Source organism: Homo sapiens, chromosome 12 (assembly GCF_000001405.40).
Source record: "Homo sapiens chromosome 12, GRCh38.p14 Primary Assembly".
NCBI classification, from domain to species: domain Eukaryota; kingdom Metazoa; phylum Chordata; class Mammalia; order Primates; family Hominidae; genus Homo; species Homo sapiens.
Genome location: NC_000012.12, coordinates 26,725,609 through 26,740,487, shown reverse-complemented (window position 1 = coordinate 26,740,487; position 14,879 = coordinate 26,725,609). Strand labels below are relative to the sequence as shown.

General features: G+C 37.9%; 1 protein-coding gene across 8 annotated transcripts in view, besides 4 other annotated features; it reads left to right on the top strand.

The window, feature by feature from the left end:
* Positions 1 to 14,879, top strand: part of ITPR2 (inositol 1,4,5-trisphosphate receptor type 2) — a 497,843-nt gene that overhangs the window by 92,707 nt on the left and 390,257 nt on the right. For all 8 annotated transcript variants that reach the window (XR_001748686.3, XR_001748687.2, NM_001414174.1 and 5 more), the window contains one exon: positions 14,723 to 14,838. Coding sequence is in view for 6 of the 8 variants with exons in the window: in NM_001414174.1 (NP_001401103.1) it covers positions 14,723 to 14,838 (116 nt within the window). In the remaining 2 variants the exon portion in view is untranslated. The remainder of the gene's footprint in view (positions 1 to 14,722; positions 14,839 to 14,879) is intronic.
* Positions 8,358 to 8,437: a silencer, noted in NCBI's record as "silent region_4302". NCBI's record gives its function as "represses an Ori minimal core promoter by ATAC-STARR-seq in GM12878 lymphoblastoid cells {active_cell/tissue: GM12878}" and the evidence as "EXISTENCE:reporter gene assay evidence [ECO:0000049][PMID:35858748]".
* Positions 12,031 to 12,260: a silencer, noted in NCBI's record as "fragment chr12:26881161-26881390 (GRCh37/hg19 assembly coordinates)". NCBI's record gives its function as "represses an EF-1alpha promoter that drives an FKBP-Casp9 reporter gene in an ReSE screen in HepG2 liver carcinoma cells {active_cell/tissue: HepG2}" and the evidence as "EXISTENCE:reporter gene assay evidence [ECO:0000049][PMID:32094911]".
* Positions 12,552 to 12,621: an enhancer, noted in NCBI's record as "active region_6125". NCBI's record gives its function as "activates an Ori minimal core promoter by ATAC-STARR-seq in GM12878 lymphoblastoid cells {active_cell/tissue: GM12878}" and the evidence as "EXISTENCE:reporter gene assay evidence [ECO:0000049][PMID:35858748]".
* Positions 12,642 to 12,771: an enhancer, noted in NCBI's record as "active region_6124". NCBI's record gives its function as "activates an Ori minimal core promoter by ATAC-STARR-seq in GM12878 lymphoblastoid cells {active_cell/tissue: GM12878}" and the evidence as "EXISTENCE:reporter gene assay evidence [ECO:0000049][PMID:35858748]".

Genomic DNA, 14,879 nt, shown 5'->3' with positions numbered 1-14,879 from the left:
TCAGTGTTTATGTTGATCTGCCTTCCTCTTTTCTTGCTTTTATAGCGTATTTCCCTTTATCTTCCAGTTTTTAGAATAATGAGTTGGTACTCTGACCTCCAAAGATGACTAATATGTGTTTTCAAAAATAATTATGAGCTCACGGATTTTAACATATTTGGTGTGTTTCAATCCAATGTGGCCATTCATCTCAATGCTCAGTAGTCTCAATTTTGTTCGTTGGGACCCTCAAGTATTTTTGGCATGACTCAATAGTCTCTTCCTCACTTTCAGGTATGACAGGATATTCCAGGCTATTCTTTTCTTCAAATTGAAATTAAATTGTGGATTAAATCTTAATTTTATTGTGTGCTGTGTTAAGAAAAATTTATCTCACTAGATTTAATTAGATGTACCTGCTGTACCCCTGGGTGTGCCTTATCAGTCAATCACCAAATGATTTTGAGAGCTGCCGTGTGCGGGGAAGTCAAGCTAGATCCTGTGATTTAGCAAACAAGTCAACCCAGTGTTCCTCTTCCCACATGCCAAGCAAACCAAACCACAACAACTATTAATAAAACAAATCCTTATTATGTCTTTAAAGTTTATCTTTTTTCTTAAAAATATTTATGAGAAACAATTGATCCATAGAAAAGTGAACAATTGAGGACTATATACAACTGTAGTAATTTTATTTTCAACTTGATTGAATAGTAACTTATATACCATAAAATTTACTCCTTTTAAATATTCAGCTTAATGAGTTTTGTTAAATATATACAGTTGTGCAGCCAATACTTAAATCACTTACATCATCTCAAAAAGTTCTTTTTTGTCCTTTTGCAGTCAATCCTTGCTTCCACCCCACTTCCAGGTAACCCCTGACCTTCTTTTGGATGCTATAGTTTTGCCTTTTCTAGAATTCATATAAATGGCCTCATGTGGTGTGTAGTCTTTTGTGTCTGGCTTCTTTCACTTAGTAAGATGTGTTTGAGATTCATCCATGTTCAGGATCAGTACTGCATGTGTCAGTATTTGTTCTTTTGTTTTTGGTAGTAGTATTCTATTGTATGGATATACCACTACATTTGGAGTTGGACATTTGGTTTGTTTTCCCCCATTTTTGGGAAACTGTGAATAATGTAGGTGGACATTTGCATACAATGCTTTGTGTGGACATATGTTCTAATTCTCTTGGGTAGACATCTTGGAATGGGATTACTGGATCATATAATAAGTATCTTTTAACTTTTCAAGAAACTACCAAAATGTTCTCCAAAGTAGGGAACCATTTGTGTTCATACCATCAGTGTATGAGCATTCCAGTTGCTCCACATCCTCATAACACATGACATTGTCATTCTTTTTAATTGTAGCCATTCTAGTGGTTTTGTAGTGGTATCTAATTATGGTCATAGTTTGCATTTCTCTAATGACCAGTGGTATTGAGTGTATTTTTATGTACTTGTTAGCCTTCCCTTTTTTGTGAAACATCTGTTTAAATCTTATTGGATTGTATGTCTTCTTTTATTGAGTTGTAAAAGCACTTTCTGTATTCTGGATCCAAGTCCTCTGTTAGAAATGTGCTTGCTTTTGCAACTTACTTTCAGGTTGAGTTTTGATAAGAAAATGTTCAACTCATCTAAATTTTTATTTGAAATAGAAAAGACCTAATCTTATCCAAAGGACATGATACATTTTTAAAGAATAATTTTATAATCATGTAAGGAAGAGAAAGAAAAGAAAAAGTTTGGGGAATTGATAAAGGAAATATTGGAGAGAGAGTGAAATAAGAGACTGTAAAAGGAAGAAAATAATTAGGGAAAGAGAAGGAGATAAAACTACAAAGAGACCCAAGCTCATTCTTGTTGGTAAAAAGAAAAAACAAAAACAACCCCCTTCTCAAAAACCGACAAAAAGAGATGTAATGAGAGAGAGAAGCTAAAAAATAGAGGAAGAGAACAACAAACAAATTTACAGTTATGGAGAATAAAAGAATAGGTAGGAAAGGAGGAGACAAAAAAATGCCAAGAGAAGAACACACCACCACCATTGCTTTCATTTCCCATGGCCTGTCCACCATGTTGTCTCCTCTCTACTCTGTTACCTCATCTCTCTGTTCCCCACTTCTCATGTCCACTTTCTGGAAGTCCTACCTTTCCTCCCACATCCCAATTCTTTAATATTTTACTGTTCTACTTTCCAAACATACAAAATAGCTGGGTTATGTCCTTTCTATCTTTAGTGTATAAAAGAACAGACTCTGAAGTTAGTTGTTTGGGTTTGAATCCTACCTCTGTGACCCTGGGCAGAACCTAACCTTTAAAATTTCCAGTTTCATGATCTGTAACATGGGAACAATAGTAATACTGGTCTCAAAGTTTTCTACAGAGATTAAAGAATCTGTGTAAAGCTTCTATCATTGTACTTGGCATAGAGTGCTCAGTCATTAAGTATTATAGCTGCTATTTGTGTAGTGTATGTGTGTGCGTGTGTGTGTGTGTTGTGGGGAAAGCGTGTTTCTTTGTTATTATTCCTTCTACCTTTGACTCTCTGTTAATCTTATTTTAATCTGGGAGTATCTTACCAAACTAAAAACTTAAGTGACAAAATACCACAGCGAGCATCATGCTTCCGATACTGCAAAATATAAACACAACTGTATTTGTTCATGTGGAATGTAAAGTTGGAAGTAATAATAATACATATTTACATAGTGCTTTAACTTTGAGCATTTTGATGTAGCACTGACAGATATTTAGTAGTAGAAGACTTATGGGGTCCGGGTGCTGAAATTTCCGGTTTCTGTAATACCGAGATGCCAAACCAACCACAGTTTGATAAATACAGCTGAAGCAGGTGAGGTGTCTGAGCTTTTTATGTAAATGCACAACATGAACTCCTTCCCTTTTTGCCAGTCACCTCCACCACAGTTTCCATTGAAAAATAGAAGGTAGGCCAGGTGCGGTGGCTTATGCCTGTAATCCCAGAACTTTAGGAGGCCGAGGTGGGCAGATCACGAGGTCAGGAGTTTGAGACCAGCCTGTCCAACATGGTGAAACCCATCTCTACTAAAAATACAAAAATTAGCTGGGCGTCGTAGGGCGTGCCTGTAATCCCAGCTACTCAGGAGGCTGAGACAGGAGAATCGCTTGAACCTGGAAGGTGGAGGTTGCAGTGAGCTGAGATAGCGCCGTTCTCCAGCCTGGGTGACAGAGCGAGGCTCCGTATTAAAAAAAAGAAAGAAAGAAAGAAACGAAAAGGAAAAAAAAAAGAAAAATAGAAGGTAGTATTTGGGAAAGACCTCCCCAAGGCAAGATTCCTGCTGCACTGCATCTGCCTCTGCCTCAACATGATGAGTACAAGTTTACTTGCCTCTGAGTAATTTGTATTTTTTGGATTTTTTCCAATTGCTGGCGAGTTTCCCCTTGCATGGAACTGAAATTTTCTTTGATCCTGGATCAATATAGGGAAAAACTTTCCTCCCTCGTTTACATGTAGAAGTTTAGCTACACAAAGTGGGATTATGCCAACTCTTTGTTTTCTCTCTGTTAGGCAACATTTCCCAGTTTGAACTATCGTTGCTCAAATAACAAGACTTGTGTATTTTGCTTGCTTTCCCCCTTGCTGAACTTTGGATACTGGCTAATTTGTTAGGATGCTGCTTAAAATGTGCCATCTATAGAACTGGACCCAACATGGATGTGTTCCTTCTTCCTCTGTTTGAGGAATCAGTCTAATATGAATCAGCCTAAAATGGCGGCATCAGCTTTTCCGCCGGTTCAGCACAGTATTCACTTATTTATATTTGGAGTGATAATATACTTATCACCCAAACCAGGACATTCTTGAGAGTGAAAGGGGGACGTGGCTAATAATTAAGCTCAGGCAACAGGCATAAACCAGAATTGTCCTGGGCACACAGGGCTATAGGGCATTCTAATTATGTTAAGTTGAACTCAAGCCTAAGGTCTAGGCAATTTTCAGTTTTTAAAATACTAATTGCTAATAGCCTTGGTGCTCCTCTCTATCATGTACCAAAGTAGTTGACTTTTTTCTGACCTTATATTTATGTTTGTATAAAGTTAATTGCATTGATGTTTGGATTTAAAAAAAATCTAGATTTTAATCTGCCTAATTAGCTACTCCTCTTCACTCTGCATCATCTGCAAATTTGATCAACAACTTTCCTGTGTATTTTTCCCAGTCGTTGGTAAGCTAAAAGGTGCCTTTCCCAGATGCTCAGTACCAATCACTTCACCCTCATGGACCTCTCAGGCAGCAGGAGTCAACTGAGAACCAAGATCTTAGGGTATTCCCTTCTCAGGTGTTTGTATTTTGATAGGAGACCTCCCCCCACCCCGCAAAAAAGATGGTAAAACCCTTCAGAGCAGAAAGAATAGATATCTAATGATTGTTTCTCAGGTAACTTGGCAGGAACTTTCTTTTGCAAACAGATTTTGAGCATCTTCCTTATAGTAGCTAATAGGGGCTGAATATAGAGTTACATGTAAACATGTTATCTAATAGGAAGCACTATCTGATAGATGGGTGCTATAGTAAAGGTAGAGGCCAACCAGCGTGGGGCTAAAAAGAGGAAGACATTTTTAAAAGGGCATCTTCCCATTCCATTGTAATGGTCTATATACAAATTTGACAGGGCAGTTAATTTAAAAATATAGTTTTTATGTATTTCAGAAGTCATTCATAGAGCAAAGGAAAGTTTCCTGGTCTCAGTTTCCTTTCCTCTTGACCACAGGATATGTTTATATAAATTTGAAGTTCATTTAACCCTAACCTGTACACATGTGCAGACTTCCAGAAGTATGGCTTTTGAATACTTTTAGTTGCAACTCTCAGTAAGAAATACATTATACATTGTAATCCCACATGTGCATATGTGTGTGTGCACATGCACAAACCCACACATGACCAGAAACAGAAGTTTCTTGAAAGAATACTTGCTACTTTGCAATGTCCTCTTCTTCCCTCCTCTTCTTCTCCCTTCCCCCTCTCCCTCTCCTCTCTTCTCCTTCCCTGTCCTCTTCCCTACCCTTCCCCTTCCCTTACTCTTTTCCTTCCCATTTTGTTTCCCTTGTCCTTCCCTTCTCTTTCCCTTTCCCTTTCTCTTCCTGTTCCATTCAATTCAATTTCATTCCATTCAGAAGGCTGGTTGAGACCAAATAATTTGATTTCAAGCCTGGCTAGGCCAGGCACAGTACCTCACGTCTGTAATCCCAGCACTTTGGGAGGCCAAGGCAGGCAGATAACCTGAGGTCAGGAGTTCGAGACCAGCCTGGCTAACATGGTGAAACCCCGTTTCTACTAAAGATACAAAAAATTAGCTGGGTGTGGTGATGCATGCCTGTAATCCCAGCTTCTCAGGAGGCTGAGACAGGAGAATCGTTTGAACCCAGGAGGCGGAGGTTGTGGTGAGCCGAGATCGTGCCATTGCACTCTGGCTTGGTCAACAAGAGCGAAACTCCATCTCAAAAAAAAAAAAAAAAAAAAAGACTGGCTTGCACAATTACACAATTACAGTTTGTTAAACTTTGCTCTGGAGTTGTCCATTGACTCCTAAATTATCTGTAGATGCTTTTTGGTAGTAATAATAATCAAAAGAAAGCTAGTCTTATTGGAGTATAAATATGTAATAATAATGATGAATAAGACTCCATGATCTTTTTGTTATTATGAATAAATCTCTGCTTACGGAGGAACTAGCATAACAAACTGATTTTGTTTTAGGTCACCCATATGAGAACAGCAATTAATTCAGTACCAGGACAATGAACAGCAAGCAGTTCTTTACTCTAAATATTGCTATTACATAACTGTGACTTGGCATAAAATACCCTGTGTTAGACTTTTTTTTTTTTTTAATTTAGGACAGGAGTTGTTACAGTCATGCTCAAATTGGTTTAAAAAGGCAAGCTTACCTCTATAAAGTTAATTTACCTGTATTAATAGTTTAATTGTTCACCTATTAGAAAATTATTGCTTTCTGAGTGGAGGGCTTGAAGCCGTGAACTTCTCTGGCTTGCTACTGTGCTCTTCTGTCGTATTGATAGTTACAGGTGTTTGGATTGTCTCTTTTAACACATTTTTGGGCCCTTGTAGGATAATTTCAGCAAGGAATCTGGGAATTTGAAACCAGAGAACGTGGACTGTCACATTATGTGTTTTAATTTCAGTGAATGTACCTCAATGTATTTGTTAAAGTTTTAATTTCATGAATATAGAGCATCTTCTATTGAATTATGAAGATGGGCTTTGGAGGCAGGTTGATCTGGACTAAATTTAAAAACAATTTTTGAAATTTTAGGTTAGAGCTCTAAAACATTCTGAGTTTCTCTTTCCTCATTTATAGAACTAATACTTCAAAGCATTTGTGAAAGAATTAAATGAGATAATGTATGTGACAAGACCTGATGTAAAAGGAGACGCTATGGAAGTACATACTCATATGTAAATATACATAAAATATATTATGCATCTATACATATTATATATGTGTGTATCTTGTCTGCATGTATGTGTGTAGAAACATAAATATATGTAAAAAATCACTTCCTTTTTCAAATCTGACACTTATGTAATGAAATTTGGAGGCTTGCATTTTGATTTCTGAATCAGTCAGCTTATTACATTTTTTTTATTATCAGTGTTAACATGGCACATTGAGAATGGGAAAAATGATTGAAAAATTATACATTATGATTTTTCTGGTAGCAGATTTCACTTACATCTAGTGTAGTGGCTTGCTCAATCAATGCTGAAATTCAAACCTTGACAAGAATACAAATTAGCATTAATGCATTTGAATTTTACTTTTCCTCCCCACTCCAAATTAGGCAAAGGATAAAGCTTCATTTGTTCTTGAGTGTTTACCTATTAGTGTATGAATCAGGCAATTAATCTCTTTGAGACTAAGATTTCATAATATTTTTATTTATGTTTTAGCATTTAATTATATATACACATAGTATATTTCCCATTGAAAACCACTCATTAGTTTCTTTTTAAGTATTATAACTGTGGCACATATGTATATGTATCTTGATAATATTTTTCTAGAGGTTGTGTTGTGTTGCAAGACTGTGGTAGGGATGAGAACTGAGGCATATGCATATTTCACTTTCTGGCCAGTGGTTTTCTTTTTTCTTTTCTTTTCTTTTCTTTTTTTTTTTTTTTTGAGATGGAGTCTTGCTCTGTCACCTAGGCTGGAGTGCAGTGGCATGATCTTGGCTCACTGCAACCTCTGCTTCCTGGTTTCAAACGATTCTGCTGCCTCAGCCTCTTGAGTGGCTGGGATTACAGGCACACGCCACTGCGCCTGGCTAATTTTTGTATTTTTAGTAGAGATGGGGTTTTGCCATGTTGGCCAGGCTGGTCTTGAACTCCTGACCCCAGCCTCCCAAAGTGCTGGGATTACAGGCATGAGCCACCGTGCCTGGCCTGGCCAGTGGTTTTCTTACCATCTGTATTTGCTAAATACATTAATAGATGCTTTAACAATTCAGTCTTTAATTGACTAAAATCACATCTATTATGGGAAAGAGGCAGTTAGTATTTGGTAATAAAAATGATAACTTTTTGAGGAGATCTTGCCACGATGATCAAATCAAAGTTGGGGTGGAGAAGTCAGAAGGATGCTGTCTGAGGATATTTAGGGCTGTTAAGTAGAAGCCAGATTAGATTTGTTCTAAATGGCCTTGAGGTACATGTAGAATTACGAACAGCATTTAAACAGAGACAGATTATGCCTCAACATGACAACCTGCTCCCAGTGGCATCTCTGCATGGCTACAGTACACTACGTAGGGTTCAGAGGATCTTGGTTCATATTTCATCTCAATTCCTCATGAAGAAAAGTCTCAGTTTCCTTCTCTGTAACATGGAGAAAATAACCCTGGCTAACTCTTGAGAGTCTTGTGAAGATCCAGTGATCTTTATTATCAATGTGTAGTGCTGTTTATAGTTTACAAAGCGCTCCATGGTAGTAAACTGTATTGAACAAACCAAGTGTGGCATTGGTGTCCCTACCACTAAGAGGTCAGGCAGTCACTTGTCAGGGCATTCAAGCATCCTATGTGTGGTTGAACTTCTTCATATTTATAATATTCTAATCTGGAAATACTATCCTGAAGGATCTAGGGAATTCACTTTTTGAGTTTTTGCTTCTTTGCTTCAAGGAAGGGAAAGATTGGATTTTATCTGAGGCTTCTTTGAGTGCTAACATTTTATCAGTCTACAAGCCTGTAATGACAAAATGCTATTTCTCTTCCTCTTTCGTAGTATAATAATTGACTTTCAGCTAGAGGAAGTTACATTGCGATCTTTGTGGTTGCTAACCCATGTGTTGTGATTAATTTTCATGTTTGCTAACACATGCAATACATTTCCCTGAGCCTTCATAGCATTCTAGAGGACACTTTCCCTCTTAGATCCTCTCTTTACAGTTGCCTTAGGCAAGGCAGGTGGGGGGATAGATGTTTGGTTTGAAATTTGTGTTCTTAAAACACATTCCTTTTTAAAACTTCTAAAAATAAAGAGTTTTATACAAACACTGTATTTCAGGATGCATTTCTTAGGGAAACTGAAAAACGAAAACAACCTAGAGTTGTATTTTCAGCTAATGAATGCATTCCTCTCCCTGCATCAACTCTGAATTCTATTATATTTAATTTTTTAAAATTTGTATTTTGTAAGAGACAAGGTCTTGCTTTGTCCTCCAGGCTGGAGTGCAGTGGTGTGATCATAGCTCATTGCAGCCTTGAACTCCTAGGCTCAAGTGATCCTCTTGTCTCAGCCTCCTGAGTAGCTCGGACTTGTAGTCCACTGCCCCCAGCTGATTTTTTAAAAAAATTTTTTCGTAGAGACAGGGTCTCAATTTGTTGCCCAGGCTGGCCTTGAACTCTTGGCTTCAAGCAATCCCCCTTTATCAGCCTCCCAGAGTGCTGGGATTATAGGCATGAGCCACTGTGTCTGACCTGAATTCTAATTTCTAGTGGCTAATGGCCCCTTGTCTGCCTGCCCCTTATCCTAAGGAGAGTTTCTTTTTTAACCACTTTCCATTTTATCATTGGGAAGGTTCTAGCTTGCTCTTCTGTTTCAGAGACCATTGTCTTCATTGAACTCTTCTGGATCCACTTTGTGTCATAAAGAGAGAAACAAAAGTCCCCGAGGCTTTCCCTCCCCACCTTTCTCCACGTAGGGAGAATAAAGCCCTTGGTAACCATGTTCCCTATGGTTATGAGGTGTTTTTTACAGGCTACCGTGAAAGAGCCATTTGTTGAATGCCTGCCTTGTGACAGGCACTTGCCTCATTTAAATCTTAAGACATCTTTAGGAGGAAGGAGAAATTAAAAACCAATTTTTTTTTTCCACCATTGCCAAAGGATACTGCTGGCCAAGACATAGCTTGAACTTTACATATGATAGCCCTAAATAGAGTCCTAAAGTCAGTTTCTGGGGTTCAGGAGTGGCCTCCTGATACAAATATTGTAGAAAGTACCTCCACAGGTTCAAAGCAAAACATTTCAAAACTATTTATACAGCTATTGTAAGTGGAGGTTTAGACTGATTTCCTGCCAGATTTCCATGGACTCATGTGTGAAGGTTGGCTCTTTGACTTACAGTGTTAACGTGCTGTGGGTTACGTGCTCCATACCATTTGAGTGGCTTTCGTATTTCTTCCCTCTGCTAGCATTTGTAAGTAAGCAGGCTAAAATGCCACCAATGCTATCAGTTTAAAATGAACACTTCTGAGTGGCTTAATTTCCTTCCATAACTGTTCAAAAAATAAATAAATAAAAGTTGTAATTCTAAGCCATTGTTCTTATAATATTGTCTGACTGAACATATGTCTGGTTGGATTACTAACATTTCCTGAACTTCTGTAATTCTGCAAATTGTTGGCTTCAGGTCTTAAGGTTAAGCTTTTAAAAAAATTAAACAAAAATAACTTCCTTTTATTTGTGCTGTTGATGCTCGCTCTATGAGATAAACCTTTCCTTTTTTTATTCCTTGAGTCTTGAAATGTTGAAGAGATTGTTGTTAGAATTAAAAAATGACGCTGAGTCAATTTCTGATTGAACTCCATAAAACATTTTTCTTAACAGTATTACACCTCTACAGATCAAGGAATACTAGAGAGTTTAGAAGCAGGATGAGGAGGGCAGGTGAGACCGGGTTGCTCTGAAATAGCTGTAATCCTGCACACTGAAAAAAAGTAGGCTTGTCAAAGGTTTTGCCCTTACTGATGTTAGTGATGGCGTCTGCATTTCTAAAAAGATATTACATGGTAATGAAGATCTAATCCTCTTCTTACTGTCATTTTGTTCCAAGGAATTTGAGAAGTGTATACAAAGACACATCGTGGCATCTTAAACCAAAGGGGTGGACACCTTGTCATTAACTGGGCACTCTTGGTGTGTCTTCAGGTTTCATCTGAGAACTTTTCTTTTCTTTTTCTTTCTTTTTTTGGTTTATTTCAGCTTCCCAGTTGCATGCCTAACTTCTCTCTCTCCCCTTTTTAAAAAACTTTTATTTTAACTTCAGGGTTACAAGTGCAGTTTTGTTCCATAGGTAAACTTGTGTCATGGGGGTTTGTTGTACAGATTATTTCATCACCCAAGTTTAAGCCTTGTACTCATTAGTTATTTTTCTTGATCCTCTCCCTCCTCTCATCCTCCATCCTCCAAAAGGCTCCAGTGTGTGTTGTTCCCCTCTATGTGTCCATGTGTTCTCATCTTTTAGCTCCCACTTATAAGTGGGAGCTAAATATAACTTATTTGATTTTCTGTTCCTGCACTAGCTTGCTAGGGATAATGGCCTCCAGCTCCATTCATGTCCTTGCAAAAGACATGATCTCATTCTTTTATGGCTGCATAGTATTCCATGGTGTATATGTACCATGTTTTCTTTATCCAGTCTATGATTGATGGGCATTTAGGTTGATTCCATGTCTTTGCTATTGTGAATGGTGCTGCAGTGAATGTATGTGTGCATGTGTCTTCATAACAGAATGATTTATATTCCTTTGGGCATATACCCAGTAATGAAATTGCTGGGTCTGATGGTATTTCTGTCTTTTGGCCTTTGAGAAATTGTCTTCCACAATGACTGGACTATTTTACACTCCCACCAACAGTGTAGAAGTGTTAATTTTTCTTCATAACCTCACTAGCATCTGTTATTTTTGACTCTTTAGTAGTAGCCATTCTGACTGATGTGAGATAGTATCTCATTGTGGTTTTGATTTGCATTTCTCTAATGATCAGTGATGCTGAGCTTTTTTTTCATGTGATTGTTGGCCGCATGTATGTTTTCTTTTGAAAAGTGTCTGTTCATGTCCTTTGCCCACTTTTTAATGGGGTTGTTTATTTTTTACTTGTAAATTTGTTTAAGTTCCAAAAGCAATTGCAACAAAAGCAAAAATTGACAACTGGGATCTAATTAAACTGAAGAGCTTCTGCACAGCAAAAGAAGCTGTCAACAAAGTAAACAGACAACCTACAGAATGGGAGAAAATTTTTGCAAACTATGCATCCAACAAAGGTCTAATATCCAGCATGTGTAAGGAACTTAAACTACTTTTCATTACTCTTTGCTGAGAGCTCTGTAAGGATTTAGTCATCTCTTCATCTTAGTGAGGCTATTGCTGAAAGAATGAAGCAATATCAATAATAATGCCTTACATTCATAATAGGACTTTAAAGTTCACAAAGAACTTTCACACAGATTTTCTTTTTGCTCATCTCAGCAACCCTGTGAATTAGGTGTGGCAGGTATTAGCACTTTTATTATGCAGTAAATTTAGAATCCGACAAAATGTGTGACCAGCCCAAGAACAGTAGATTTTTAAAAATGTGTTCTAAAGGAGGCAGAGAGAGAATTAAGCATGCACACACCCTACTGCCACCAATGAAAGCTTTTTAACAGAAGTCTGTGTGTGCCCCACCTTCTCTCCTATTATCCAGAACAGTCCTGCAAGATTAGTTCCCATGCAGAAACAGATCAATTATTTACTGTAATATAAAATGAGATGTCCCCTGTGGGAGGCTGCTGAAAGGGACTGTAAAACTAAGGCCCTGAAATGGAAAGGGCTTTTGAAACCCAAGACTTTGTACTTCAGATAGAGTGGGTGGAAGCTTGTTCATTTGGCTATTTTCACTTACCCCTCCTTGACCTTTTCCCGCCCCCACATCTAGTCGATTATTAAGCCTCTGGTTTGGCTGCTTTATTTTACATCTACGGCTACCCAAAACTACCGTAGGGCCCCAGTTCCATCCCTACTGTCTTTTCACAACAGCAGCGGGTTTCGGGGATGGCCTTCCTGCCCCTTGCTCATGCCATCTTTCACATGCCCTAAGAGCTTAAAAGTCTGTAAGAGTTCAGCGTTTTCCATGGGGTATAGTCCATCCTCCTTAGCCTAGAACATAACACTGTAGATCTTGACCTCAGCCTACCATTCCATTTTTATCTTGCCGCTTCAGTGGTGGTTTTCCTGAATGGTTAGGGGTCCCTTAGCATTCTTCGCTGCCTTCATACCAGCCAGTGGCTCTGTTTGGAACGCCCCTCCCCTTAGCATGGGAGCCCTCTTGCCCCTGTGCTGAATGAGTATTGGTTCTTTAAAATTTGGCTGTGTTTTCTCCTTTCTTCTCCGTGGGGAAGTCTTTTCTGACCTCCGTTGCCTGTGAAATTGGCCACGTGCATCGTTGTGGCTCTTAGCATCTCCTCCAGAGCTCCCTTGTGAAGCTTCAAGTAGACCGTGAGCTTTCTGAGGACAGGGTCTGAGGCTTAACCCCTGTTCGTGCAGGGCATGACCCCCTGTAGGGGGATTACAGTAAACACAGTTTGGCTGAAAGTTTGGCTTCACTTCACAGTGACCTCAGCCACCACTCAGGAGCATTTGGCCTGACAGCCAGTTTGCTGACTCCCCAAAGATATCGCTAATTAGGAGTGCTGTTGAGGTGGTCTGGGATTTACAAAAATATTTTTTCTGTTAAAGGATCATTTCCAATTGACCTTAATTAGGAATCTGTAATAATGAAGAGAAACACAATTTTTTCTCTTTCCTTTTTATACATGAAGAAAGTCAGAAGCATAAATTCCAGATTATGGAGTTCAGTTCCCCTTGATCATGGATTTGTGCTTTTGCTGAGTGCAGACAGTATAGAGTTTTGCCACTTGCCTAATATAGGATAGTCAAAAGAGTCTGCTGTATTAAATTGGGAGCACTCTTATGGAAATATCTGTAAACAACTTGTGGATTTGTGCTTCAAGAAATTTGTAAAATTCTCTTTGTAGTTGCTAAGATACAGGAAATAACTTTTAGGGCTAGTATGATACACTGCCAAGGAAAACATTTTCCAGGCTGTCCGTCTTTGGTCACACACGTGCTAGGTGTTGATTCCTGTATCATACTGTAATTGTGGTGGCCTCTAAGCCTACTTTTAGCAGTTTGAAGGTATCTGTTTTCTACTACCTATGAGATATTTACTTATCCATATCAGTACCCTTTAAACTAGAAATTAAGATTAGTTTACTATTACCTTGTCTGTATATGGGGGGTGGGGCAATCACATGGGGAATATGTGTTCTTATAGAAAAAAATCATCATTGTCTTGTTTTTCCTACATTCCTTACAAATTTTACAGCCATATTTCTTGATCATTTATGCCATTAGAACCATGAAAAAGTGATATTTGAAAAGGTATCATCTTTTTAAATACAATTAATTTTAAGGAAAATAGTGGAACAAGCATATTATATAATGTAGTCAATAATGTGGCTAAAGTGGATATTTGAGTTGACTGAATTTTATTTTTGTGATAGTTATTTGTCGAATGAGAATGACTCTAAATATCAACACATCAGTCAAAATAAAGTAAATTTGTTATGTTGAACTCACAGTTTTTTATGAGAAAAATGAAAATAAGGTTTGAATTTTCTGTATTACTACTCTTTTATGATAGAATACTGAGAATTTACCTTTATTCTAGATTGTAATCTATTCCACAAGCATACAAAATCATTAGCATGTGGCGAAACTGTTGAGTTCTTCCATTCTCCTCATTGAAAATAAAACGTATATTTTGCTTCTTGACTTAGAGATATCACAACTATAATATTCCTCTATGATTTTCTATCTTGATGTTTAGCAATAGAGTCAGGACTGTAATCTTGGTTTAGGTGTTTTGTTTTGCTTTATGTTTCCATCATATCATATTGTCTTTCAGATTTTCACATCATATTCACCCAGGTATTTGGAAACTTGGGGAGTGGATGACTCTAATGGTCAGCTGGGATCTACTTCCTGGATCACTTTGGCTGTCAAATATACACAGCACCAATGTGTATTAATTGTGCAAAGTCAGATAAGGCAGTGAAAGTCACTAATCTCATTCTATTTGCTTTCTAAGACCAGGTGCCCCATTATAATTAATCCATGCCTTATAATACCACAATTACATGGGTTTGATTTCTTTATACACTGGCTATCGTAGTCTTTAAAAAACTTAAATTAATGAAGAAGTGGATATTTTAACTGAGTCTAGATAATTATTTGAAAAGGATGTTATAGAGTGAATGGAGAGTTGGCTGGAGGACGGACTATATGACTTTTAACTGTTCTGTATAATCAGGGATTCCAAGATTCAAAAGCTGAGCTATAAGGGAAATCTAAGAAATGCTAGTAGCCTTAGTTACAGTGTTTTTGTATGTTGGTTTGTCACAGACTGCCTTTTCAAGGTGTGCCCTATGAACAGATATTCTGCCCAGAAGCAATATTGGAAAGCAAAGCAAGCCAAACAAGGGAACCACACCGAGGCAGCCTTGCTGAAGAAACTACAGGTAAGGACCAGGATTCCAATTGTCTGGCTTAGGCTAACCAA